The sequence below is a fragment of the Homo sapiens genome, chromosome 7, assembly GCF_000001405.40.
Source record: "Homo sapiens chromosome 7, GRCh38.p14 Primary Assembly".
In the NCBI taxonomy this organism is placed as follows: Eukaryota; Metazoa; Chordata; class Mammalia; order Primates; family Hominidae; genus Homo; species Homo sapiens.
This window is the reverse complement of record NC_000007.14, coordinates 100,204,466-100,230,001: the sequence shown is the minus strand read 5'-3', so window position 1 is coordinate 100,230,001 and position 25,536 is coordinate 100,204,466. Positions and strand designations below refer to the sequence as shown.

The window sequence follows — 25,536 nt, the reverse complement described above, 5'->3', positions numbered from 1 at the left end:
GCGGAGCTTGCAGTGAGCCGGGATCGCGCCACTGCATTCCAGCCTGGGCAACAGAGCAAAACTCTGTCTCAAAAAAAAAAAAAAATGGAGTTCGAGACCAGCCTGACCAACATGGAGGAACACCGTCTCTACTAAAAATAAAAAATTAGCTGGGTGTGGTGGCACATGCCTGCAATCCCAGCTACTCGGGAGGCCGAGGCAGGAGAATCGCTTGAACCCGGGAGGTGGAGGTTGCAGTGAGCCAAGATCGCGCCACTGCACTCCAGCCTGGGGGACAGAGTGAGACTCCGTCTCAAAAGAAAAAAAAAAAAAAAAAAAGAGTAAAGACCCATTTTACAAGCGAGAAAGCAAGCAGACATTAACTTGCCCAGAGTTAGTGAGTGACAACCAAGCCAGGAAGGAAAGTAGGAAATGCTCTCAAGGCGCCTCTAGCCTAAATAAGGAGAAAGTGCTGCCAGAAAGTAATGGGAGAAGACAGTATACCACCATGTGTGGCCTAGGACAGTCTGAGAAGACTCTCAGGGGGCTGTGGCAGGATTTGGGGTGGGCCTAGGGGCTACAGTATGAGACTAGGAGGACAACTGTACCCCTCATCTCCTTGGACGCTCTGCTTCAGAAGGAGAGTTTAGTTTTTGTTTGCTTGCTTTTCTCGAGGTAGTCTCTCTCTGTCCCCAGGCTGGAGTGCAGTGGCGCGATTTTGGCTCACTGCAACCTCCACCTCCCAGGTTCAAGCGATTCTTCTGCCTCAGCCTCGTGAGTAGCTGGGATTACAGGCATGCACCACCACACCCAGCTAATTTTTTTTGTATTTTTAGTAGAGACAGGGTTTCACCATGCTGGCAAGGCTGGTCTTGAGCTCCTGACCTCAGATGATCCTCTTGCCTCGACCTCCCAAAGTGCTGGGATTACAGGCATGAACTACTGCACCTGGCCCACTGGCTAGTTTTGGGGATTTTTTTTTTTGTTGTTGTTTTGTTTTGTTTTGAGATGGAGTCTTGCTCTGTTGTCCAGACTGGAGTATAGTGGCACGATCTCAGCTCACTGCAACCTCCACCTCCTGGGTTCAAGCGATTCTCCTGCCTCAGCCTCCTGAGTAGCTGAGACTACAGGCATGCACCGCTATGCCCAGCTAATTTTTGTATTTTTAGTAGGAACAGGGTTTCACCATGTTGGCCAGGCTGGTCTCGAACTCCTGACCTCAAGTGATCCACCCGCCTCAACCTTCCAAAGTTCCAAAGTGCTGGGATTATAGGCGTGAACCACCGCGCACAGCCCACTGGCTAGTTTTTGTGTTTTTTTGTAGAGGAGTCTCACTATGTTGCCTATGCTGGTCTGGAACTCCTGGCCTCAAGCAGTCCTCCCACCTTCGCCTCCTAAAGTGTTGGGATTACAGGCGTGACCCCGGAAGAAGGATGCTGGCTCTGGCATGGGGAATGAAGGCTGGTGCCCTGTCACCCCCGTTCTGCAAACCTCCAGCGCTGCAAACATTGCTTCCCACCAAAGGGCCTCTTCTGCCACTCTTAAAATGAGCCAGGGTGTGTGTTCACTGGCAGCTTTGATAGTTAGAAGCTAGCAGCTGGCCATGGTTCAGTGGATGCTGGGTCTTTCCTGGGAGGGCAGGGGATGGCTTGTAAATGACATTAGCCAGCAGAGTTCCTTGTTCAATGTGAACGTTGTTAAGAGATTCTTGGTCTGAGCACAGTGGCTCATGCCTGTAATCCCAGCCCTTTGGGAGGCTGAGGCAGGTAGATCGCTTGAGCCCAGGAGTTCAAGCAGGTTGGGCAACATGGCAAAGCCCCGTCTCTACAAACAATACAAAAATTAATCTGGTGTGGTGGCACATGGCTGTGGTCCCAGCTACTCGGTGGGCTGATCATTTGAGCCTGGGAGGTTGAGGCTGCAGTGAGCCATGATTGTACCACTGCACTCCAGCCTGGGTGATAGAGCAACACCCTGTCTCAAAAAAAGAAAAAAAGGTCTTGGCTCAAATGGATGCAGTATGTCTGTGTGGCAGACAGAGGGGTTTGTACATGTGTATATTCTGATTTTTTACGTGTGTGTGTGACCGAGTCTTGTTCTGTCACCCCTGTTGGGAGTGCAGTTACACAATCTCTGCTCACTGCAACCTCCACCTCCTGGGTTCAAGCAATTCTCATGCCTCAGCCTCCTGAGTAGGTGGGATTACAGGCACTCACCACCACGCCCGGCTAATTTTTATATTTTTAGTACAGACAAGGTTTCACCCATGTTGGCCAGGCTGGTCTTGAACTCCTGACCTCAAATCATCTGCCTGCCTTGGCCTCCCAAAGTACTGGGATTACAGGCATGAGCCACCGTACCTGGCCTCTTTTAAGTATTTAATGAGCACTGTGTGCAGTGCTAGGTGTCCTGACAGATTCAGAATAACGTTAGAAGCCTCTGGGTAATGGGTAGAAGCTTAGACTTGGAGTTAGAGGGGCCCAGTGCTTATCTAGGCTCCACATCACCAGCCCTCACCCATCACAGTCCCCTTGTCTGTGAACTGGGAACAGCAGTACATCATTGTGGTCCATGCCACGCGTGGCAAGGCATGGTCAGCAGGCAGTGACTGATCAAAAGGTGGAGAGGTGGCCAGGCAAGGTGGCTGACACCTGTAATCCCAGCACTTTGGGAGGCCGAGGCAGGCAGATCACTTGAGGTCAGGAGTTCAAGACCAGCCTGCCCAACATGGTGAAACCCCTTCTCTACTAAAAATACAAAAAAAAAAGAGCCAGGCATGGTGGTATGCACCTGTAGTCCCAGCTACTCAGGAGGCTGAGACATGAGAATCGCTTGAACCCGGGAGGCAGAGGTTGCAGTGAGCCGAGATCGCGCCACTGCACTCCAGCCTGGGCAACAGAGTAAGACACTCTCCCTCAAAAAAAAAGCAGCAGCAGCTCTGGGTTCTTCCCAGGGTGGAGGCTGTGAGCAGGGCGGGTAGACCAATCCATCAGACAGGCTGCCTGCTCCTGGCCAGCTGCTGATTGACCTGAAATCCTCCAGCCAGCAGCAGCCGCCTCTTCCCCCACAGCCATGTTTCCAGCTGGTCTCAGGCCTGGGCTTCTCCCCAAGACCACTCTGGGTCTCGTCCAAACCTGCCAAGAGACTCCTAGTGGCAGAGTCTTGGTTATGTCAGCACCCCCTCAAGGTGCATATATGCACCCCAGCACTTCACCACCTCGGAGGCTATATCAGCAGCCGCTTCCGCTGGGGAGGACAGAGCCAGGATTGGCCCCTCGGAGTCCGAAGCCTGCGGCTTTGATAAGAGACAGGCCTCCCACTGCTCAAGACTGGGGCCGCCTTTTCCCATTTCTGTGCAGCTGCCTGCCTCTCTAGCCACCCACTGGCTGACCACTGGTCCTTCTCAGCCAGCGGGACCAATGGGCTCCCTGGGCTGTGGTCACCATGGTGACCAGAGCTGGGCAGGTAGGAACAGGCATGGGCCTCACTCAATTTCCCTCCTCTCAGGCCATCTTGCCTGCCAGCAGAGCCCAGCTCGTCTTTCCCCAGGAATCTTCATCATCACAGCTGCCTTAGCTCACCCATCTCTGAGCCCCTGTCTCCCTTTTTATCGATTTATTTTTTGAGATAGGGTCTGGCTGTGTCACCTAGGCTGGAGTGCAGTGGTGCAGTCATAGCTCACTGCAGCCTTGAAATCCCAGACTCAAGCGATCCTCCCACCTCAGCCTCCCAAGCGTCTGGGACCACAGGCATGTGCCACCACGCCTGGCTCATTTATTTTTAATTTTTTTAGAGATGGGGTCTCAGTACGTTCTCCAGGCTGGTCTCCAATTCCTGGTCTCAAGCGATCCTCCCACCTTGGCCTCCCAAAGCAATGAGAGTACAGGCGTGAGCCACTGCCTCCAGCCTCAGCACCTCTCTTTTTAGCCCCCTATTTTCTTAGGGACTTGGTGGTTTTCATTTGGTGCCCAAAATAGAGCCTGGGTTCTTGAGCCAGACCCACACTGGAATCCTGGCTCTGTTATTTCCTAAGTGATCTTCGGCAAATCACTGAGCCTTCCAGGTCCAGAGTTTCTGGACCGTTGAGTGTACAGTGAGCAAAATAACCCTGCCTTGGCCAGGCGCGGTGGCTCACGCTTGTAATCCCAGCCCTTTGGGAGACCAAGGTGGGTGGATCACTTGAGGCCAGGAGTTTGAGACCAGCCAGGCCAACGTGGTGAAACCCCATCTTTACCAAAAATACAAAAATTAGCCAGGCATGGTGGTGGGTGCCTCTAATCCCAGCTACTCGAGAGGCCGAGGCAGGATAATTGCTTGAACCAGGAGGCAGAGGTTGCAGTGAGCCAAGATCATGCCAATGCACTCCAGCCTGGGTGACAGAGTGAGGCTCCATCTCAAAAAAAAAAAAATCCTGCCTCCTTGTGGGATGCAGTGTCAGAGTTCACCTCCCTGTGCCGTGCCCCCTCCCCACTCAGGGCCTGGCACTAGGTGGGTTTATGCAGGTGCCTGGTGATGTATGAAGAGCCCCAAATGCAGCCTGGGCTCGAGTCTGCGGCTGGGTGTGGTCACACATAGTGTGTGCCTGTGTCCCACGTTCAGGGCTACTCAGGGACTCTGTCTGTAGGACAGGGTGGAAGGGATGGCTCCAGCGTTTGGATTCTGGGTTTTCATGAGCTAGGTAAGGAGGCTTAGCAGTTGCTGCTGCTGTGGACTCCCCCGCCTGCCAAAGCCATTGCCAGCCCCTGGGACTTCCAGGCTCTCAGGAGGGACATGGGTGACAGTCACTGCCCCCCATGATGCAGCCTCTTCAGGGGCCCTCCTGGAGTTGCCTGTTCTTCCAGAGAAGCCCAATGTGCAGGGCTGGCTGAAGGGGGAAGAGAAACCCCAAAGCCCCACCCAGCCTTTTCCTGGCCTCCCCTCCACCCAGAGCCTTCCTGGGAGGTCTCCAGGAACCCAGTTTGAAAGCCAGTTGCACGCGAGACAATGGGCGTGATGACAGCATCAGACCCACAAAAGGGTTGTAAGAACTAAAGATAAGGGCATTACCCACTACTGATGCCATCGTTTTACGGCTGAGGAAACTGAGGCTTGGCGCAGATCAACCACTTGCCCACATGGCTCCTACTCTGCTAAGCTGCTGGGGATGTCCTGTGTCATCTGAGGGCCTTCCCTGCCCAGTCCTCCCAGGAAGCAGCCTTTGATTCAAATCCCATTCTGTTGAAGGCCGAGCGCAGTGGCTCACGCCTGTAATCCTAGCGCTTTGGGAGGCCAAGGCAGGAGGACCCCTTGAGATCAGGAGTTCGAGACCAGCCAGACCAACATGGGAAAATGCCATCTCTACTAAAAATACAAAAATTAGCTGGGTGTGATGGTGCATACCTGTAATCTCCACTACTCAAGAATCACTTGAACCCAGGAGGTGGAGGTTGCAATGAGCCGAGATTGCACCACTGCACTCCAGCCTGGGCGACAGAGCAAGACTCTCTCAAAAAACAATCCCATCCAGCCAGGTGCGGTGGCTCACGCCTCTAATCCCAGCACTTTGGGAGGCTGACGCAGGCGGATCACGAGGTCAAGAGATTGAGACCATCCTGGCCAACATGGTGAAACCCCGTCTCTATTAAAAATACAAAAATTAGCCAGGCATGGTGGCACGTGCCTGTAATCCCAGCTACTTGGGAGGCCGAGGCAGGAGAATCACTTGAACCAGGAAGTCAGAGGTTGCAGTGAGCCGAGATCGCACCACTCCAGGCACTCCAGCCTGGTGACAGAGCAAGACTGTCTCAAAAAAAAAAAAAAAAAAAAAATCCTGTTGGAAAGTGAGGCAAGGCACAGGGTAGAGCTGGCCCCAGAGCCTCACTCTCCACCTCTCTGGCCTACCTTGCCCTGCCCTTGGGACAGCTGGAACCTCAGCAGTCACAGGGCTGCCTTCTGTGTCTCCCTCCAGAGCTGCCCTCCTCGGAGCACCTGAGTGTGGCGGATGCCACCTGGCTGGCCCTGAACGTGGTGTCCGGCGGTGGCAGCTTCTCCAGCTCCCAGCCTATTGGCATGACCAAGATCGCCAAGTCAGTCATCGCCCCACTGGCTGACCAGAACATATCCGTGTTCATGCTGTCCACGTATCAGACAGACTTCATCCTGGTGAGCTGACCATCACAGACACGCCTTGCACACTTGGGCCCGCCTCTGACACACTCACTCCCATCTCCCACCCCTTGCAGCCTTGCCCTTCCACGCTATTCCAGGGTGGGGGCAGAGTCTCAGGGTGAGAGGTTGGTGCCCCAGGGCCACCAGGCACACACAGCCTCAACTTCTTGCCCCTAGGTGCTCAAGCGGGACCTGCCCTTTGTCACCCACACGTTGTCATCAGAGTTCACCATCCTGTGGTCAGTGGCTAGACTGTAGCAGCCGAGAACCTCGGCATCACCAGTGGCTTCGTGAAGCCCAAGCTGGGTGAGCTGGGGGCGGGGGTTTGTGCGGGGAAACCTCACGAAGTTACCAGGCCAAGCCGTAGACCAGCCTTGCTCTCAGCACGGGCTTCTGCCCACTGAGCATGAATGGAGTGCCAGGCAGAACGGGATGCAAAGGGCAAGGTGTGGTGGCTCATGCTTGTAAACCCAGCACTTTGGGAGGCCGAGGCAGGCAATTCACCTGAGGTCAGGAGTTTGAGACAAGCCTGACCAACATGGAGAAACCTGGTCTCTACTAAAAATACAAAATTAGCTGGGTGTGGTGGTGCATATTTGTAATTCCAGCTACTGAGGAGGCTGAGGCAGGAGAATCACTTGAACCCAGGAGGCGGAGGTTGCGGTGAGCCGAGATTGTGCCATTGCACTCCAGTCTGGGCAACAAGAACAAAACTCCATCTCAAAAAAAAAAAAATGTGATGGAAAGGTCCTGGGCAGGCCCTGCTGCCATGTCTAGCAAGGGTGGTGGACGTGCATGCATACAGCAATGGCCAGAGGCCACTCCTGCTGCAATCCCAGGTGTCAGGGTGGGTTTCCCTGGGCAGGGACTGTGGTGCTGAAGCCTGGAACACAGGTAGGAACGGGGCCAGGTGGTGCCAGTTGGGAAGGGCATCCCAGGCAGCCAGCACAGCATGTGCAAAGGCCCAGGGGCCTGAGAGTGAGATGGAGAATCAGGACGGTGGTAATTGGTGGTAGAGGCTGGAGAAGCAGCAGTGAATGAGTCTCTCAGGGCCTGCGGCTGAGCCCTCCCCAGCCCTCTTCCCAGGCCCTGCACTCACCAGAGCTGCTGCTTTCAGTCCCAGCCTCAGTGCCTGACATCTTTGTGCTCTTACAGTCCAGATGCCGGTCATCCACCCACTGTCCAGCCCGAGCAACAGGTTCTGTGTCACCAGCCTGGACCCCGACACGCTGCCTGCTGTTGCCACACTCCTCATGGATGTCATGTCCTACTTCAATGGGTAGGGCTGCCTTGGGCATGAGGGGTCGCCGGCTGGACCAGGGGGAGGCACGGCTCTGCCTAGGAGTCTTAGTCTGACGGGGGAGGCTTTGCCAGGAGCTCATCTGAGGGAAGAGACACAGACCTTCCCTGGAGCTAGTCTGAGCGGGGAGACATGGACCCACCCCGGAACTAATCTGAGTGGGAAGGCAAGGACCCGTTCCAGAGCTAGTCTGAGCGGGGAGACAAAGACCCGCCCCAGAACTAGTCTGAGGTGGGAGACATGGACCTGCCCTGGAGCTAGTCTGAGGTGGGAGACACAGACCCGCCCCGGAGCTAGTCTGATGGGGGAGACACGGACCCGCCCCAGAGCTAGTTTAAATGGGGAGACACAGACCTGCCCTGGAGCTAGTCTGAGGTGGGAGACATGGACCTGCCCCAGAGATAGTCTGAAGGGGGAGACACGGACCAGCCCCAAAGCTGGTCTGAGGTGGGAGACAGGGACCCACCCTGGAACTAGTTTGGGGTGGGAGACACGGACCCGCCCTGGAACTAGGCTGAGGGGGAGACACAGCTCTACCAAGCAGAAAGGTTGGCTCTGGATGGAACATTTTGTGGGGAGTCCCCCATGTCTGTGAAGGCCTCTGCCTTCCCCGAGAGGAGGCGGGGGAAGTGATTGAGGGAAGATTTCAGGTGAGTCCCCCTACTCTCCACACCCTGCCTAACGCCAGCTGTGGAAGGAGGGCATCAGGACCCCAGCCCAGGCCACAGCAGGGAGCCCAGCAGAGGGAAGCCAGGTCAAACCACAGGGACTTCTCTCAGGCCAAAGCCCCAGGAACCCTTGCTGTTGTCCTAGAACATGGTGGGATTGGAGCAGAGACCATCCCACTGGGATCCCCCAGCCCTATCTAGGCAGCCACAGGTGTCCCTCAGGAAGCTCCCCCAACACCCCTGCCACTCTGAGAAGCCAGGACAGATCTCTAAGATTGGGACACTGCCCTCTCCCTGGGCCAACCCCAGCCCTGCAATGAGGCCCCAACCCACTCTGGTTCTCACCTGGCTTCTGCCTCCCAGGGGTGGAGACTGCCTCCCCACTCTCTTCACCCCCAAAGAAGAAGCACAGCCGAGGCCGACATCAGAGAAACTGTGTTGCTGACTTAGTTGCAGCAGGAAATGACTGAAATGGGGTAACTGTCACTCACACACTCACACCTGTGCCCACACACGCACACACAGAGACCACATCCGCAGCAGGTGGGCCTGGCCAGACACCTATGGGACACTTATTGGAGGCCCAAGAATTAAAGTAAGGGGGTGACACCCAGGAGGCCTGGGAGGGGGAAAGCCCAGTGGCCTCATGGTCTCTCTCATCGAACTCCTAAGGGTCCTTCCATGGCCCTGGGCCCCCGAGGGTCAGGGAAAAGAGTGAGGCCGGGACCAGTGTGAGGAGGCCTCTCCCCTGCCTGAGCGTAGAGTCCATTCTCAACAGAGACAAAGCTGCCACGTGCAGGGATGGGTGTGGAGGCCCAGGCGGCAGGGCCCTGGGGCCGGTGTGCAGCGTGGGTGGGGAGTGACGCCCACCAGGACGGCCCCCCATGGGGGTGAGCTGTGTCCAAAGTAGCTGGGCGGCAGCTGGTGTTGATAGTGGCATAAGGGACGTGAAGAGCAGCCTGGGAGGCCTGGCTTGGTGCCTGCGCGGGGGAAGGAGGGTCAAGTGAGTCTGCACAGCTTGGGCCCAGCCCTGGCCCCCCTGCCCCTGCCCCTGTCACCTCATCCCCAAAGCAGGTCCCCTCCTCACCCATGCTCGTGCTCTCGGTGCCTGGGGGCTGGTGCGGGACGGCTGGAGCCTAGGGGCAGGGCTGGGAGAGAGCAAGGATGGTCAGAGCTCTGCAGGGCATGTGGCCATCCCAGTGTCAGGGGGACGTGGACAGGGACCAGGTCTCACCGGTGCTTATGTCGGCGCAGCAGATGAAGGAGGTAGACACAGCCAAAGAGGAGGACTCCTGAGACCCCCAAGATCCCGGCCAGGTCTGCCCGCAGAATGGGGGCAGGAGTCGGCGGGGCAGAGAGCCCTGGGCACGGAGACAAGAATCAGATGGGTGGCCAGTTCCCGAGCCCCTCCCTGCCCTCCTGGACCCCTCGCCCCGGCCCCACCTGGGTCTGAGCTGGGCGGGAGGCTCCCACAGGCCTCCCAGGAGCCCTCAGGGAAGGACGCAAACTTGCAGCAGAAGGTGGTGTTGGCGCAGGGGCTGCTGGCCCCAGAGCCTTCCAGGATGAGAGAGATGCTGCTCTGGGTTTCCCAGCGGGCCTGGCGAGCAGGGGCCCATTGCCGGATGCCACGTTCTGGGTGCAACACAGCCAGCGTGGTCCCCCCAGCACCGTTGGGGCCCCCCCAGCTCACAGTCACCAGGGAGATGGAGCCAGACCCCAGGAACCCACAACGGATGGTGAAGGACGAGAGCTCGGTGGCCTCCATCCGAACTTGAACCCACACCTCCGGGGTCCCTGTGGAACAGCAGCAAGGTCGGTGGGCTGTTGTCCTACATCACCCTCCCTGCAGCCCCTGCCCCTCTCTGGTGCCGGCACTCACCCGCAGTGACACACAAGGTCAGCAGCACCCAGGGCAGGACCAGGGTCCGGTGCCCCATGGCCCCCTCCAGTCCAGGTTCTGGGGGCTGCAGGGCCGGCACCTGTGCCTCTGTTCTCATCGCAGGAAGTCTTCATGTTGTCAGCAGCCAAACAGCCACTTCCTTCTCTCCTCTCACACCTTCCCCAGAGGTGGTGAGCACAAAGTGGCTGATTCCCTTCTTAAAGTGACAGTGAGGGCCTGCTCAGTCCCCAAGGCTGTGCTTCCAGGTAACAAGGCAGGGCGGCACAGGTGGGTGAGAACCCAGCCCTGGCTAGGCCTGGGGAGGCCAGGGGAGGGGCAGAGAAGCTGTCAGGGGCTAGAAGGACTCCCCTTCCCTGGACAGCAAGGGGTGCCGGGCTTCCCTAAGAAAGGGCTCTGTCCCGCCCCTCACCCAGCTAAGGAATCGGAGGAGAAAGCCCCTGGGAGTGGGAAGCCAGCAGGGAGGACCTGAGAGCCAGCCCAGCATGCATGACCCACTACCAATCTGATGTGGGTCCCACGCTTACACCTGCAATGCAGGCCTCCCCCACAACCCCCAGCCTGGCTCGCCCACTACCCACTCATACCTCCTGATCTACCCTGAACGCACCCCATACTGGGCTCTGCCCCAGGCGCTGTCTCCTCGTCATAGGTGATGGCAACTGGCTTCTGGCTGCTCGGGCCCAAAGCACAGCCACCAGTGCCTCTTCCCTTTCACTTCCAACGCACCAAGATTGTGTCAGCAAACAGCAGTCCTCTGCCCTAGCAGTGCAGAAGCCAGGAGTTGAACCCATGTCTCTCACCAGGTTAAGCTGCCTCGCTAAGTTTGGATGTGACCTCAGAAACAGAGGCTACTCCAGCAATACAAGATACTTTATTTTTCGGCTTCTACCTATGCCACCCAATCCCTTCACTGGGCCTAACTTAGTGAATCAAATTAAGTATATTTCCCTCCAAGTTGCCCCAGGATTCTGGGCTCCTTTGCACACTACAGGTTTTCTCTAAACGCCCTGGGTTTATCTATCCTTTGGTGAATTTTCAACTCTTCTTATTTCTCTGCCCTGTCCTGACCAAAAATCTTCAGTGCCTGTTTCTCTCTGCCATCCAAATCCCACACACATCTAGGGGTGAATCGGTGAATCTGCGCTGATGAGTGACACGTTTTGTGAATCCTTTCTAGGATCTCAGTATTTCATCCTATCCCGAGGGAAGGCTCTAAAGAGCTCAAGGAAGACCTCACGATGTCTATGTGTGAGAAGAAACCTTTCACCCCTTCACTATCACACCCCATCATCCAAGCACACACTCCTCTTTCATCCCATAAACCCCAGTCAGTGTCACCTGGAGTTATAAGGATGCGGTGACTTACCTAGTAACGGAAGACTCTCAGTAATCTGAAAAAGAAAAATCCCTTCACTTTATAACTGAGGAGATAACACCAACAAGTCACTTCCAGCAGAGCTCATGGCCACAGTGCAAGTTAAAAAAGGTAAAGCCTTATTGAAAATAATCTTAAAACAATTATTCAATATTAACAGACAATGCCCAGCAGTGCCATGTGGGAGGCAAGCCACCCAGCTGCCAAGGCAAGAGACCGAGGGCACAAGCTGTTCCAGTATAATAAAGAAAATACATAGAATAAGAATAGTTATACTAGAAATAGATTATAGCTATGATTATATATATTACTAATCATTAGTTTATAGCATAACTCTTTATTCCAATATTATAATAATCTTTGTTCTACAATTATAACCTAGGAAAAACCAGGCCATACAGAGATAGGAGCTGAAGGGACATGCTGAGAAGTGACCAGAAGGCAGGAGTGTGAACCCTCTGTCATGCCCGGACAGGGCCACTAGAGGGCTCCCTGGTCTAGTGGTAATGCCAGTGCCTGGGAAGGCACCCGTTACTTAGCAGACCTTGGTCTAGCAGTGGTGCCAGTGCCTGGGAAGATAACTGTTACTTAGCAGACCGGGAAAGGGAGACTCCCTTTCCCTGGGGGAGTTAGAGAAGACGCTGCTCCACCACCTCTTGTGGAAGGCCTGACATCAGTCAGGCCCGCCCACAGCCATCCGGAGGCCTAACCGTCTCCCTGTGATGCTGTGCTTCAGCAGTCACCCTCCTGTTTCACTTTCATGTTCCGCTCTGTACACCTGGCTCCACCTTCTAGATGGCAGTAGCAGAATTAGTGAAAGTATTAGTCTTTGATCTTTCTGAGAAGAGCATAGAAGAAGTAATGATGTAAGCTGTCCTCTCTCTCTCCGCCTCGGCTACCTAAAAGGTAAAGACCCCTGTCTGGTGGACACGTGACTCATGTGACCTTATCTATCGATAGAGATGACTCGCACTCCTTACCCTGCCCCCTTTGCCTTGAATACCATAAATAGCAGCGCGGTCAGGCATTCAGGGCCACTACTGGTCTCCGCGTCTAGGTGGTAGTGGTCCCCCGGGCCCAGCTGTCTTTTCTTCTATCTCTTTGTCTTGTGTCTTCATTTCTACCATCTCTCATCTCCGCACAGGAGGAGAAAAACCCACAGACCTAGTAGGGCTGGACATCTACAGTGCCACCCCTGAAAAGCACTGCTCTGCATCACTTACCAGGCTGGGCAAAGGCCTCCATGCCTGCTACCTAAGCTGGCCTCAGCTCGTCCAGCCTGGCCTGGGCCTGGCCAGTGGGAGGTGCTGCTGAGAAGCCAGAGCCCTGGGCTGTCCTGGACGGCCAGCAGGGGGCTTGCTGGCATGAACCCTTCACAGCTGAGCCTGTCAGGGTGAGGGCGTGCACAAAAAAGTATCCACAGATGTTGTGCAGTAGAAATAAAGAAACATTCTAACCTTTTAAGACAAAAAGACAGTATCGCTTCTTGGCCTTTTGGCCAAGATCAAGTGTAGATAAAAACATTGTAAGTCATGATTCCCTTGGAATACGATCAGTATTGTGAGGGAAGAGAGGCAAACCCCCAGCCCATCACCACACACTGCAGCTCACACACTTCAGGTTTTGTGCTCCCAGACAATGCCTGTCCTCATGAGAGCACTGTTGTCTGTGCCGGGAAATCATCCTCTGACCTGTTCACAAGTCTTCTAGATGAAGATTTTCAGCGGGTTTGGATCTATTTAAAAAGCGGTAACTGCAAAGAGGCACCTAATCCACTTGATTTGCCTGTTTTTGAGAGGTACTCCTGGCAGTTATGAAGGTCATTAAAAGTATCAGAATAAATTGAACTTTTTTTTTTTTTTGAAACGGAGTCTTGCTGGGTCGGCTCACTGCAACCTCCATCTCCCAAATTCAAGCGATTCTCCTGTCTCAGCCTCCCGAGTAGCTGGGACTACAGGCTCATGCCACCACACCCAGCTAATTTTGTTGTATTTTTAGTAGAGACGGGGTTTCACCATGTTGGCCAGGATGGTCTCAATCTCTTGACCTCGTGATCTGCCCGCCTTGGCCTCCCAAAGTGCTGGGATTACAGGCCTGAGCCACCGCACCCAGCCCTAAACTGAACTTTCAACTGAACTTCAGAAAATGTTGAACCATGATTTTAAAAAATGTTTCTCACTTTGCTCTAAGCCCTTTTTTAAGAGCAAAAAGGCATTTTGCAGTGTTAACCAATGAAATATTTTAAAACACTTATTTCGTCAACTCATGTTACATTTTAAATGTGTATAATATAGAAGAATTAGTATATGTTTATATAACTTACAATTTTTTAAAAAACTGATACAAATGTCCAAAAGTTGGGAGTCTTATGACTCTTAAGGCCCTGTTCCGGTTGCTATGGCTACATAACAAACCCCTCCAGACTGAGTGCTTTACATCTTACTATGCTCATGGGCTCCACGATCAGGAATTTGGAAAGTGCACAGAAAAGATGGGCTGTCTCTGCTCCCTGATCCCTGGACCTCAGCTGGGAAAACTGAAAAACAGGGAAGGTTGGAATCATCTGACTCCCATCTGGACTGAATCTGGCAGCCAACATGGATGTTGGCTGGGACCTCGGTGAGGACTGCTGGCAGGAACACCTACACGTGGCCTTTTCCTTTGGCTGCTGGCCTTGCTCACAGAATGGTGACCGGGTTCCAAGTGTGAACCCAGGTACAGGAAGAGACAGGAAACGGAAACTGCCAGTTTCCTTAAAATCTGGGCCCACTAACTAGCATGGCATCATTTCTATCATCTTCTATTAGTCAAGCATCACAAAGCCCATATTCAAGAGGAGACAACCTAGACCCAGCCTCTCAATAAACAGTGTCAAAGGCTTTAGAGAGCATGGTGTCAAGCTCCCAGATTCTAAGGCTGTGACTCAACCCAGTGCACTGGGCTGCCTGGCTGTACACAGGTGTCCATATTGATGCAAAGCCCCCAAGCTGCTCTTATCCTCTTGTGAAGCACCCTTAGCTTGGTTAGTATTTAAATAATTCAGGAATCTTTCCCCTCCTGGATTTTGAGAGACCTCCACATCTTCTCCTCAGTTCTCCCACTCTGTTCCCTCATCCCACAAAACAGGCTCCTTTCCCCAGAACTATTCTACCTGAATACAGGCGAAAGATCGCTCAATGAGTTAGCCTTCCCCCACACCCCAGCTCTGACTCCCCGAGGGCTACCTTTCCAAAAGGAGACTCAACCCAATTTCTTATAGCTTTCATCTGGGAGGGGCAGGTGGGGGCGGGGAGGGAGAATGAAAGGGGCGAGGTGGTCTTGGATGAGTGACCTGATTGCAGGGAGTCACGGCTTTTTCTGCACACATCACTAGCTGGATGGCTGTGTCTGACCTAGGAGACCACAGTGAGAACCTGTCACTAAAGCAGGTGCCCATGATGGGAAGAACTGGAAATTTTATCTAAAGAGAGAGGCTGAAGCATTCCTTAAACCACAGAAGAAAACAGTGAAAGTACAAAATGACAACAGCCGTCTTCAAATACTGCTTGTCAGAGGGACAAGAGAGAACAGAGGTGCTGTGCTGCTCCACAAGGCAAAACAAGAGCAAACAAGTCTGTCTGAGTTTCAAGAGGCTGGCCCTGAGGCTGCACTGTGGCAGTCTAGGTGAGAGACGATGGTGACAATGTGTGGAGGACATAGGCCAGAGAATTTTCTTCACCAAGTCTTGACAGAATTTGGTGAAGAACTAGCTGGAGAAGGCAAGAGTGAAGGTGACATTGTCACTTGGATTTTAGGGTTGGACATTTAGAGTAACTCCTTAGTTTCCTTTTAACTCTCAGATACTGTGATTTGATCAAATTCCAAATTATGACAGGTATCTTTGGGATGAGGATAAAATTTCCTTTGGAAAGAACCCGTGGGTGAAGGCTGCCAGGACACATGGCCTGGCCTGGCTCACATGGGTGAGACAGGTAGCTTCACAAGGTCCTGCTCCACTCTGCCACCTGTCAGCACAACTTTTACTACTGCAGAGGCTGTGGCCACTAGATAAACTACTCACAGGCAGTCAAACTCTCCCCATCTCTACTGCCTCACCCCACCTCTCAGTTACTAAGCAATACTTCCTGGAGAGCCTGTAGACAAAGCACCTGCAGGGTGTGGGGACATCTATATGCTGGGCCATGGGACAAGGCGGACCAAGAACCTGACCTCCATCAGTTTAACGATCTCAAGCCACACCTTGGGAACGTGTGGATTCAAACATGTTTATTGAGCGAATCATTAGGACACAAAATAGGCTGAGAAAGATGTTCCAAAAATCCAGGAGACTATGGGCTATTTCCATTAAACACAGAGGTGCTGCCCTTCTCCACTCCAAACAGAACAGGAAAAAGGCAAGGGGACTGGGCCACAGTGCATTAGGGAGGACAGGGTCTCTCGGCTTCTCTACCCCAGAGGGAAAGGTTAGGTTAGAAAAACAATGCCCAACTCTTTCCCCTCAGAGCCCAGGGCTGAAGCCTGGGGGAATGCTTCATTTTGCTCCTTTTCTCTTTGCCTTTTCCAAATGGTCACATTCTTGAGGTAGGGAGTGGAGCTGGGGAGGGGCCCAGAGTCCTGTCAGAAATCCTATAATGAGAAAGATGAAAGGAATACACAGGACACAGCAACGGGCCAATGGGCAGACCATCCTCCCCTGGGTTACCCTCAAAGCCCCAGAGACAGCCCAGAGGGCCACCCCCAGGCTATGGCCTGTCAATTTGATGAGTGCACGGGTTGCCTGCCAGCATTTCCGAAGGATACATAACTCCTGCTCTGGGGACACTCACCTCAATATCCAGCTCTGTAGAATCTAAGAGGTCCAGCCCGCGCTCACTGGTGGAAGAGTAGCTACTTGCTTGCTAGAGAGAATGAGGTTAAAAGTCAAAAAGGCCTTTACACACTCCTGTCACTTCGCAAATAAAAAAACCAGTTCCTTTCCCAGCCTCATAAGAACAAATATGGGCACAGCAGGCCCCTATGGCACCTCCTGGGAGGGAAGTCAGTGTGGGCACCAGGATCAGGCCTGACTGCAGAGCGCTTCTTGGCCTGCTGACTGAGCCCCTTAAATGACTTTGTTTTGGAAACCAGAAAACGGATTTTTTCTGAGATGTTAGGAAATAATATTTTAACAGAGGCCTTGCTCTCTAGTCTCTGGTTTGAAGGTATCATTGTTTGGTTTCTCCTTCTGAGCACAAGACTCCCCTGTTCTGTTCTATTCTGTTCTTTTTCCTTCCCTGCAGAGAAGAGAACAGAAGAATAACAGCAGAAGATACGCAGCCTGTAATGGACTGAATATCTGTGTCCCCCTAAACCCACATATTGAAATCCTTCCCCCAGTGTGATGCTGTTTGGAAGTGGGGCCTTTGGGAGGTGATTGGGTCATAGGGGTGCAGCCCTCATGGATGGATGAATGCCCTTCTAAGCCCAGGCCAGAGGGCTAGCTTGCTGTTTCTCCTCCAGGTGAGGATACAACTAGAAGCCAGCAGTCTACAGGCTGGAAGAAGGCCCTCACCAGAACCCAACCCTTGGACTTCAGCCTCCAGAACTGTGAGAAATACATACCTGCTGTTTGTAAGACACCAGTCTATGGAATTCTGTTACAGTAGCCTGAACTCAGACATAGCCCTTTTCCATTTATAAGGTGGTTTTACCTTATATTTTATGTAAAAGGTCCATTTTATTTATTTTTGAATTGTTGATTTTTTTTTAAGAGACACGTGTTTACTATGTTACCCAGGCTGGACTCCAACTCCTGGACTATTGATCCTCCTGTCTCCACCTCCCGAGTTGCTGGAACTACAGGCTAACAGCTCTGTTTTAAAGATGAGAAAATGGGCCCCACGCAGTGGCTCACACCTGTAATCCCAGCACTTAGGGAGGCTGAGCCAGGTGGAGCCACTTGAGGTCAGGTGTTCGAGATTAGCCTGGCCAACATGGCAAAACCCCGTCTCTACTAAAAATACAAAAAAAATTAGCCGGGCATGATGGCGCGTGCCTGTAATCCCAGCTACTTGGGAGTCTGAGGCAGGAGAATTGCTTGAGCCCAGGAGGCAGAGGTTGCAGTGAGCCGAGACTATGCCACTGCACTCCAGCCTAGGTGACAAAGAGAGACTCTACCTCAAAAAATAAAAATAATTAAAAAATAAAGATGAGAAAATGGAGGCTGAGGAGGGGTAAAAGCGCTAACTTGACATGGAGTTGAGGACTAGCACTCATGTCACCTCACTCCAAATGCCAGGCTTTTCCCACTACACCAGCAGCAGTTCCTCCTGGGGAAACAGGCTAGGTTAGAAAGGGAGTGAGGGAAGGGACAGGGAGGGGAAGCCCTCTAGTAGGGAGATGGAGGATAGGGGGTCATGTTTTGTGGGGAGAGACACTGAAGGGGCTGCCACTTGGACTGAATGACCTCCCACCTCCAGCATTAGGACTCCTTCCAATTCCTAGGGGGTTCGGAGGCAACAATATTTATTTAGGGATTGGGAGCGAGAGTGCTATTCCAACCTTCTTTGGTATTTGTAATTTCTTTTCCTTATTCTTTAATAAAAGTAGAGTCCAAGCAAAGTCCAAACCAACATATAACCTGTCCTCCTTTACTCTAGATTCATTCAGCTTTTCCAGACCAGGCATCACCGAGCGGAGAGAGGGGAAACACCCTGGCTTCTCTTTGGCACATCAGCCCCTAGTTCTTGAGAGAGAAGGGCAGGGTGGTCTACTCACCATGTCTGTATCCTGCCGTTCTTCATTTGACTCATCCTGGATTTCTAACTCTTCTTCCTCGTCCTCTTCCATAAGGCTGAGTCTGATGTAGGGGCAAAGAGACTGGCTTTTCAAACTGTTCTTTGAGGACCCCTGAGAGTTTCTCAGACACCCGGGGTGGGGGAAGTGGGGAGCAGTAAGTACAGCATAGTAGTTTCCCGATTGTGCTGACAGGAAGTGCTCTGTGGCTAAAACAAGTCCAAAAAGCACCCACAGAGAGGCAATGGGTGAGACAGGAATCCCCTCACAGTGGGCGACAGATCTGAAGTGAAGACAGGAGATGATGAGAAAAGCTCACCGCATCAGCTGGTTGCCCAGGCCAGGACCTGAAGGGTTGTGTGGAGTCTGGAAATATTGTGGACCCAAGAACCTTGACCTCTCGGTGCCTGCGACGGGCTGACTGCTGGGAATGAAGCAGGATCAATGATGGGATAAAAATCAAGGGTAAGAAGAGGATGTAAGGCAGCTGGTGTTAATGGGGAGAAAAGCTCAGAGAGATGCATTTTAAAGCTAAACAATGGAGAAGGGTTTGAGAAGAACCCAACAATGTGGGAGTGCTACAGCAGGGAACCATGAAACAGAAACAGCAAGATGGAGGCAGCCAGACACCAAACTGGGAACTCAGACACCCAGATTCCCTCCATGGCCTCACCCCTGGGCAAAATCCAACTCTGAGCCATCTTCTTCCTCCATCTCTTTCAACCCCCACAGGGGCTGCCTGCTCTTCACAGCTGTGGAGGTGAGGGTGGGCGTGGGCGGGATGCTGTTCAGCTGCAGACTTTCTTCCTGGGACGAGGAGACGTCCTCTCTGTTAGGCTTGGCAGGCCCTGCCAAGCAGATGCATACATTAACCACAGCCCAGGGCCTGCGACAGGTGTGCTCTCTTTCCAAGACCTGCCCAGGATTTAGTAAGGGAAAGTCAATCAGGAAGAGAATGGAAAACTTATACAGCTTCATTCTGTTGCCCTCAAATGGGCATAGCCCTATGTACTAAATACATAGCCCTATGTACCAAAAAGTAAGGCTTAGAGAATTGTAGCTAGGCCTTGTCCAAGAAGAACTTGCTACACAGCCTAGAAAACAAGATGGAAAGATATATAAATATACATTTCACAGATAAACTGTAACAGGTGAACAGGTGAACACAAACATGAGGGAGGGTTGGAGTCTCTAAGATTGAGAGGTCTGAGTTAGCCAATGAAGACATCTGAGATCCTATCCAAGATTTCTGTGGTCAGAAAAAGCTGTAAATGGCAATAGAGTTTTGGTACCAGAGGCTAGAGTGGACAAATGAGGGCCAGGGAGGAACCGGAAAATGGGAGACAGGATTTTCTAAAAGCTAGAAAAAAATGAAGTGATTGCAATGCCAGTATAACTGATATGATATGAAGGGGGACTTATCTCCTGCAGAGATTGGAGAAGGTAGAGGAGGAGAAAGAATCCAAAGATTCTCACTGCCTGAGAAAACCCAGGCAATACTATTTTAAAGCATCAGTCAAATTGACATTAACATCTGTTAACTGTAAACAGTCACACTCCCATTACCCCCCTTCTCCACTAAAAACAATAATCCCAAAGTGAGCGCTCAGCCTATGGGTTTAAGCAGAGGGCTACAGAAAACAGGGAAGAGACATACCCCTGGGCTTGGATTCCCAGAGAGGAAACCTTGGGGCCCCAGATGTGTCCTCCTGATCTCCCTGAGCTATTAATGGTGTGATGCCCGAGGGCTGGGCCCTTGAGTCTCTCCTCTTCTCCATCTTCACTGGCTTCCCCAGCCACTCACGTTCATGTCCTTAAATATCACCTATACTCTGCCACATCCCAAAGGGATCTCAAGCCTTCAGCTCTCCCCTGAACTCCATCTTAACAGCCCCCATGGTTTGTTCAACATCTCCACCTGTAATCCTGTGGCCAACACCAATGCCCCAACCTTCCCCCACAGCTATCTTCACTCTCTGCCTTCCCCATCTCAGATACTGTCAACTCCATCCTTCTGTCAGGCCAAAATCCTTGGAGCCATCCTCAACTGCTCTTTTTGTCTTACATCCCACATCCAGTTTGTCAGAAAAGCCTATTAGAGATACCTTGAAAATGCACCCAGAATCTGGCCGTTTCTCGGCACCTCCACCATTGCCCCCGGCCTAAGAAGCTCTCTTATCTTGCATCTTGGGCTGGACTCCTACAACAGCCACAACCTCCCTGCTGGTCTCCCAGCTTCTAGCCTTCCCCCATCTCCTGTCGTTTTCGACACAGCAGCCAGAAGGATCCTTTAAAAACAGAGGTTGATCCTGTCGTTCCTCAAAATCCTCCAATGGTTTTCCTACTGCACTCAGAGTAAAAGCCAGTCTCTGCCTTAGATGCTCTGGGATCCTGTACCCTCTTTGGTCTCATGTCCTACAATCTGCATTCTGGCCATAATGGTCTTCTCTGCTGTTCCTTGAACATTCCAGGAACATTCCCCCCATCCCCTCGTGGCCTCAGGACTGGCTGCTTCCTTTGGTATGCTATTCTGATACACACTAAGCACCCTCCCTCACCTGTTATAAAAAATTCGCTGGGAGGCCAATAGGCTGAAATGGCTCCTGCACTTTGGGTTCCTAAGTCAGCAAACTGAAACTCAACTCAGAGTGAAAGTGTTGTGTGTAACCTAGGAGCAGGAAACTTCAGCTTAACCAGTCAGAAACTACCGACTAACCTCTAACAAGAGATTTATGGTCAGTTAACCTCTAAATATGAACTTTCCACTCTAACCAATCAAATAGTTTCTTTGTCTTGCTCCCAGAGACACCTTGTAAGTGTCCCCTCTGGTTTCCTCGGTGGTGGCGCCCTGAACTGCTGGCGGTCTGCCACTGCCTGATTGATAAAATTGCTGAATGCTCAAATAAACCTGTTAAAATTGTAATGTGCCTAAGTGTATCTTTTAACTTATTTTTTAGGCTTTTTGCCCAACATTTGTGTTGAGTCTTCCCTTGATCAGTCTTTGTAAGACTGCAATCCCCACCCCGCCAGCATTCCTCACAATCCTCCCTGCTTTTTTGCCATAGTATTTACTACTATCTGACACTCTCTAAAGAAAGAGATGTTTAGCTTTTTTGTTCACTGCTGTATTCCCAGCACACGGTGCTCAGTATCTATTGAATGAATAAAAACAAACTCTTCAGTTTTATCTTGCCTTCACAAACCCTACGCTTTAGGCAGAGCGATCTATGTACCTCCATGCTTCGCCCAGCACACAGCCTTCTATGCTTTGCTTGTGCTATTCTGCCAGCCCATGATGCTCCTCCTTCCTCTGTTCAGCTTATAAAAATCTTACTTATTTTTTAAGCTCCAGCAATTCCATCTTCTTGGTAAAGCTCTCATCATTCTCTGAATTCTACAGCATTCACTTGTACAAGCCCTCAGGCAGTTATTGGCAATTGTTCATAATTCGAGTTTTCCATAATTAAAATTTCTCCCTTTCCTATTAGATAATAAGCTGCTGGATTCTTCATGGCCCCTAAAACACTGAACATAGTATCTTTCATATAGTAGGTCCCTAACAACTATGTATTAGTTAATTAATTAAAGCAGAGTTTCCTGGTGGTATAAGACATAATTTTAGGTGGTACACAGAAGACAACAAAAGGAAATCACACCTCATCTCACACTATATACAAAAATTAACTCAAACTGGATCACAAATCTAAATTAAGAGCTAAAACTATAACTTTTTTTTTTTTTCTGAGACAGTATCTCGCTCTTTCGCCCAGGTTGGAGTGCAGTGGAACAATCTCGGCTCACTGCAAGCTCCGCCTCCCGGGTTCACGCCATTCTCCTGCCTCAGCCTCCCGAGTGGCTGGGACTACAGGCGCCCACCATCATGCCTGGCTAATTTTTTGTATTTTTAGTAGAGACGGGGTTTCACCGTGTTAGCCAGGATGGTCTCAATCTCCTGACCTCGTGATCCGCCCGCCTCGGCCTCCCAAAGTGCTGGGATTACAGGCGTGAGCCACCATGCCCGGCTAAAACTATAACTCTTAGAAGAAAACACAGGAGTAAATCTTTGTGACCTCATGAATTAGCCAACAATTTCTCAAGATATGGCACCAAAAGCACAAGCAACAAAAGGAAAAAGTTAGATTTCACCAAATTCAAGAACTTTTGTGTTTCAAAGGACACCACCAATAACACGAAAAGACAACCCAAAAAATGGGAGAAAATGTTTGCATATCATAAGGAATCTCATGTCTAGAATATATAAAGAATACTTACAACTCAACAATAAAAAGACAACCCTATTTTAAAATAGCTAAAGGATCAGAACAGGCATTTCTCCAAAGAAGATAAACAAATTGTCAATAAGCACATGAAAAGATGCTCAATACCATTTGTCATTAGGGAAATGCAAATTTAAACCACAATGAGATACCACACCTCACAGCTACTAGGAGATGGATAAAATAAAAAAAGACATTAATAAGTACCGGTGACAACATGGAGAAACCAGAGTCCCCATACATTGCTGGTAGGATTGTAAACTGGTGTAGGTACTTTGGAAAACAGTGTGGTAGTTCCTCAAAAACTTAAACATAGAATTGCCATACGAACCAGCAATTCCACTCCCAGGTATATCTCAAGATAACTGAAAAGATGCATCCACCCAAAAATGTGTACATGCATGTTTAGCAGCATTATGCATAAAAGAGCCCAAATGTCAATCAACTGACAAGTGGATAAGTAGAATGTGGCATATCCACACGATGGCATATTGTTTCGGCCATAAAAAGGTATGAGATACTGATATATGTCAAAGTATGGATGAACGTTGAAAACACTGTACTAAGTGAAAGAAGCTGGACATAAAAGGCCACATATTATATGATTCCATTTATATGAAAGGTCCAGAGTAGGCAAATCAAGAGATAGGAATTATATTAGTGATACTACCTAAGGCTGGGAAGATGGGCAGAGACTGCGAATGGGTATGTGGTTTCTTTTGGAAAGATGAAAATGTTCTAAAATTAGATAGTTGTGATGGTTGTACAATTCAGTGAATATGCTAAGTGTACACTTTAAAAGGGTGATTTTTGGCTGGGCACGGGGGCTCACCAGCACTTTGGGAGCACTTTGGGAGGCTGAGGTGGGCAGATCACAAGGTCAGGAGTTTGAGACCAGCCTGGCCAACATGGTGAAACCCTGTCTCTACTAGAAATACAAAAATTGGCTGGGGGTGGTGGTGGACGCCTGTAATCCCAACTACTCAGGAGGCTGAGGGAGGAGAACCACTTGAACGTGGGAGGCGGAGGTTGCAGTGAGTCGAGATCACGCCACTGGACTCCAGCCTGGGTGACAGAGCGAGATTCCGTCTCAAAAAAAAAAAAATGATTTTTATGATATGTAAGTTGTATCTCAATAAAGCTGTCACATAAAGTCCCATTTAAAAATGTACACTAGAAAACACATACTTGCATATGAAATAATGATTGCTACAATGTTGCTTAATATGAAGCTGTTTTTTAAAAAGCAAAGAAAAAACCTTAGGCAGCCAGGCACAGTGGCTCACACCTGTAATCCCAGCACTTTGGGAGGCTGAGGCAGGCAGATCATGAGGTCAGGAGATCAAGACCATCCTGGCTAACATGCTGAAAACCCATCTCTACCAAAAATTCAAAAAAAATTAGCCAGGCGTGGTGGCGGGTGCCTGTAGTCCCAGCTACTCGGGAGGCTGAGGCAGGAGAATGGCGTGAACCTGGGAGGCAGAGCTTGCAGTGAGCCGAGATGGCGCCACTGCACTCCAGCCTGGGCAACAGAGCAAGACTCCATCTCAAAAAATAAACAAAAACAAAAACAAAACCTTAGGCAACTTATAAGACAACAGGTGATCTGAAGGTAAAAAACAATGAAGGTTGTGTAAAAGTGTCCAAGGTTTCGAAAATAATGGAATACAAGATGTTGAGGAGGGTACTCTGAATGTATAGATTTCTTAGTTCAATATTTGGTTTTATCATCAGTTTCTTTTTTTTTTTTTTGAGACAGAGTCTCGCTCTGTCACCCAGGCTGGGGTGCAGTCGCGCAATCTCAGCTCACGGCAACCTCCGCCTCCCGGGTTCAAGTGATTCTCCTGCCTCAGCCTCCTGAGTAGTTGGGATTACAGATGCGCGCCACCATGCCCAGCTAATTTTTGTATTTTTAGTAGAGACGGGGTTTCACCATCTTGGCCAGGCTGGTCTCGAACACCTGACCTCGTGAGCCGCCTGCCTCGGCCTCCCAAAGTGCTGGGATTGCAGGCATGAGCCACCACACCTGGCCCTCTATTTGATTTTTAATACAGGTTTTCAGTTGACTAGATAAACCTTGAAAGAAATTAATACCCTGAATGACAGTAGATGCTCAATGAAATACTTGACAAAATAAGTTTGCAGGCAGCCAACGACCACCTGCTGGGCACCCCCATACCCACACACAGCACCCTACCTTCAACGCGCCTCCTCTTGGAGCTGGGGAGGACCTGAGGGCTGGTCTCTGCTGTGTTCTCCACAGGGCTGAGGGAGTGGCAGTAGGTGGTGACTGGGCCCCAGGGATGGCCAGGTGCCTGGGAGACATGCTGCAGGCACTTTTCTAGATAGGACAGTCTATGAAAGAGGTAGAACCAAAAGCCTGAAGGGGCTACTGGGCCCTCAGCAGGCCCTTCCCTAATCCACATCTCTATCCACCCACCAACTTACAAAAGCTGCTTGTCCTGATGGAAGAGTCGGGGGGAAAACTCTGAAAGGAGCTCCAGGAATGCCAGATTTGGAGGCTGATTGGAGGAGCCAGCTGGAGGAAGCTCAGACAAGGAGAACTGGATGCCTTCCCTTGGTTGGGCAGAATTATTTTAGGAAGAAAGTCTCTTCCCACTTCCCTCCCAGGCCTGAGCTATCCTGTCCAAATGCACCCTCCCCCCGTCCCCAGCTTGTCTCCAAAGGCATACCCACCCCTAACCTGACTGCTATGCCTTGACACACATACCCTCCCTCCGAGACCTCCCTCCAAGACCTCGTTCCCAGCCCTCCCTGGACACAACCTGCAACCAATACTTCCTACTTGTGTAGCATGACCACGAGGTCACGGTTCTGCAGCTGCTGGGGTCCAAAACTCAAGGCAAACCTCCGGGCCAGGTCCCTCATCTCGATGAAGGCAGGAAGCTCATTCAGGCCCTGGGGCCCATGCTCCTGCAGCAGTTCTGTGTACAGCTGTGTCCAGGAGACATGGTGCATGTGGGAAAGGGAGGAACACGGCGGAAACAGAGAAGTCCAGCATTCTCTTCTCTACTCAGAAATTCCAAAGGCCTTGGGACACCATCTACTACTTTTACTCTTTCCTTCCTTCTAGGGAACTCCCGATACCCCTGCAG

At 51.2% G+C, this 25,536-nt stretch overlaps 2 protein-coding genes and 1 pseudogene across 30 annotated transcripts in view, besides 8 other annotated features; 1 reads left to right on the top strand and 2 right to left on the bottom strand.

The window, feature by feature from the left end:
* The window catches only part of CASTOR3P (CASTOR family member 3, pseudogene), a 71,580-nt pseudogene that overhangs the window by 42,231 nt on the left and 3,813 nt on the right, over positions 1–25,536 (top strand). Inside the window, exons 3-7 of one of the 4 annotated variants that reach the window (NR_028039.1) lie at positions 5,927–6,120; positions 6,304–6,432; positions 7,282–7,405; positions 16,869–16,955; positions 18,008–18,608. The product of NR_028039.1 is annotated as a CASTOR family member 3, pseudogene, transcript variant 3 (transcript). Of the gene's footprint in view, positions 1–5,926; positions 6,121–6,303; positions 6,433–7,281; positions 7,406–16,868; positions 16,956–18,007; positions 21,067–25,536 lie in introns of those variants that run through there. The other 3 variants (NR_028038.2, NR_028040.1, NR_166147.1) reach the window with 3 other exon arrangements.
* Positions 8,294–8,393: an enhancer, noted in NCBI's record as "active region_26352". NCBI's record gives its function as "activates an Ori minimal core promoter by ATAC-STARR-seq in GM12878 lymphoblastoid cells {active_cell/tissue: GM12878}" and the evidence as "EXISTENCE:reporter gene assay evidence [ECO:0000049][PMID:35858748]".
* Positions 8,414–8,513: an enhancer, noted in NCBI's record as "active region_26351". NCBI's record gives its function as "activates an Ori minimal core promoter by ATAC-STARR-seq in GM12878 lymphoblastoid cells {active_cell/tissue: GM12878}" and the evidence as "EXISTENCE:reporter gene assay evidence [ECO:0000049][PMID:35858748]".
* PVRIG (PVR related immunoglobulin domain containing) lies at positions 8,512–10,754 on the bottom strand. Of its 3 annotated transcripts, NM_024070.3 has the most exons (6): positions 10,602–10,754; positions 9,974–10,289; positions 9,538–9,888; positions 9,329–9,455; positions 9,182–9,242; positions 8,514–9,074 (listed from the first exon to the last, which is right to left on the bottom strand). In NM_024070.3, exons 2-6 carry the CDS (start codon positions 10,089–10,091, stop codon positions 8,751–8,753), a joined length of 981 nt encoding a protein of 326 aa, NP_076975.2. In that variant the 5' UTR covers positions 10,092–10,289; positions 10,602–10,754; the 3' UTR covers positions 8,514–8,750. The 3 variants fall into 3 exon arrangements, with proteins under 3 accessions (NP_001384175.1, NP_001374063.1, NP_076975.2); NM_001397246.1 differs by lacking the exon at positions 10,602–10,754 and having other exon boundaries at positions 8,512–9,074; positions 9,974–10,053; NM_001387134.1 differs by lacking the exon at positions 10,602–10,754 and having other exon boundaries at positions 8,512–9,074; positions 9,329–9,386; positions 9,974–10,053.
* Positions 8,934–8,983: a silencer, noted in NCBI's record as "silent region_18426". NCBI's record gives its function as "represses an Ori minimal core promoter by ATAC-STARR-seq in GM12878 lymphoblastoid cells {active_cell/tissue: GM12878}" and the evidence as "EXISTENCE:reporter gene assay evidence [ECO:0000049][PMID:35858748]".
* Positions 9,904–9,973: an enhancer, noted in NCBI's record as "active region_26350". NCBI's record gives its function as "activates an Ori minimal core promoter by ATAC-STARR-seq in GM12878 lymphoblastoid cells {active_cell/tissue: GM12878}" and the evidence as "EXISTENCE:reporter gene assay evidence [ECO:0000049][PMID:35858748]".
* Positions 10,034–10,163: an enhancer, noted in NCBI's record as "active region_26349". NCBI's record gives its function as "activates an Ori minimal core promoter by ATAC-STARR-seq in GM12878 lymphoblastoid cells {active_cell/tissue: GM12878}" and the evidence as "EXISTENCE:reporter gene assay evidence [ECO:0000049][PMID:35858748]".
* The window catches only part of STAG3 (STAG3 cohesin complex component), a 41,611-nt gene continuing 26,742 nt past the window's right edge, over positions 10,668–25,536 (bottom strand). For 8 of the 23 annotated variants that reach the window (XM_017011685.2, XM_047419787.1, XM_047419786.1 and 5 more), the window contains 8 exons: positions 25,227–25,375; positions 24,869–24,997; positions 24,618–24,775; positions 18,817–18,991; positions 18,463–18,567; positions 18,126–18,207; positions 16,196–16,267; positions 11,047–11,385 (listed from right to left, as the gene is read on the bottom strand). In XM_017011685.2, coding sequence (XP_016867174.2) covers positions 11,329–11,385; positions 16,196–16,267; positions 18,126–18,207; positions 18,463–18,567; positions 18,817–18,991; positions 24,618–24,775; positions 24,869–24,997; positions 25,227–25,375 — 927 coding nt within the window. In that variant the 3' untranslated portion in view covers positions 11,047–11,328. Of the gene's footprint in view, positions 10,754–11,046; positions 11,386–15,614; positions 15,996–16,195; positions 16,268–18,125; positions 18,208–18,462; positions 18,568–18,816; positions 18,992–24,617; positions 24,776–24,868; positions 24,998–25,226; positions 25,376–25,536 lie in introns of those variants that run through there. The other 15 variants (NM_001282716.1, XM_047419796.1, XM_047419791.1 and 12 more) reach the window with 6 other exon arrangements.
* Positions 11,992–12,351: an enhancer, noted in NCBI's record as "active region_26348". NCBI's record gives its function as "activates an Ori minimal core promoter by ATAC-STARR-seq in GM12878 lymphoblastoid cells {active_cell/tissue: GM12878}" and the evidence as "EXISTENCE:reporter gene assay evidence [ECO:0000049][PMID:35858748]".
* Positions 12,412–12,541: an enhancer, noted in NCBI's record as "active region_26347". NCBI's record gives its function as "activates an Ori minimal core promoter by ATAC-STARR-seq in GM12878 lymphoblastoid cells {active_cell/tissue: GM12878}" and the evidence as "EXISTENCE:reporter gene assay evidence [ECO:0000049][PMID:35858748]".
* Positions 18,415–18,514: an enhancer, noted in NCBI's record as "active region_26346". NCBI's record gives its function as "activates an Ori minimal core promoter by ATAC-STARR-seq in GM12878 lymphoblastoid cells {active_cell/tissue: GM12878}" and the evidence as "EXISTENCE:reporter gene assay evidence [ECO:0000049][PMID:35858748]".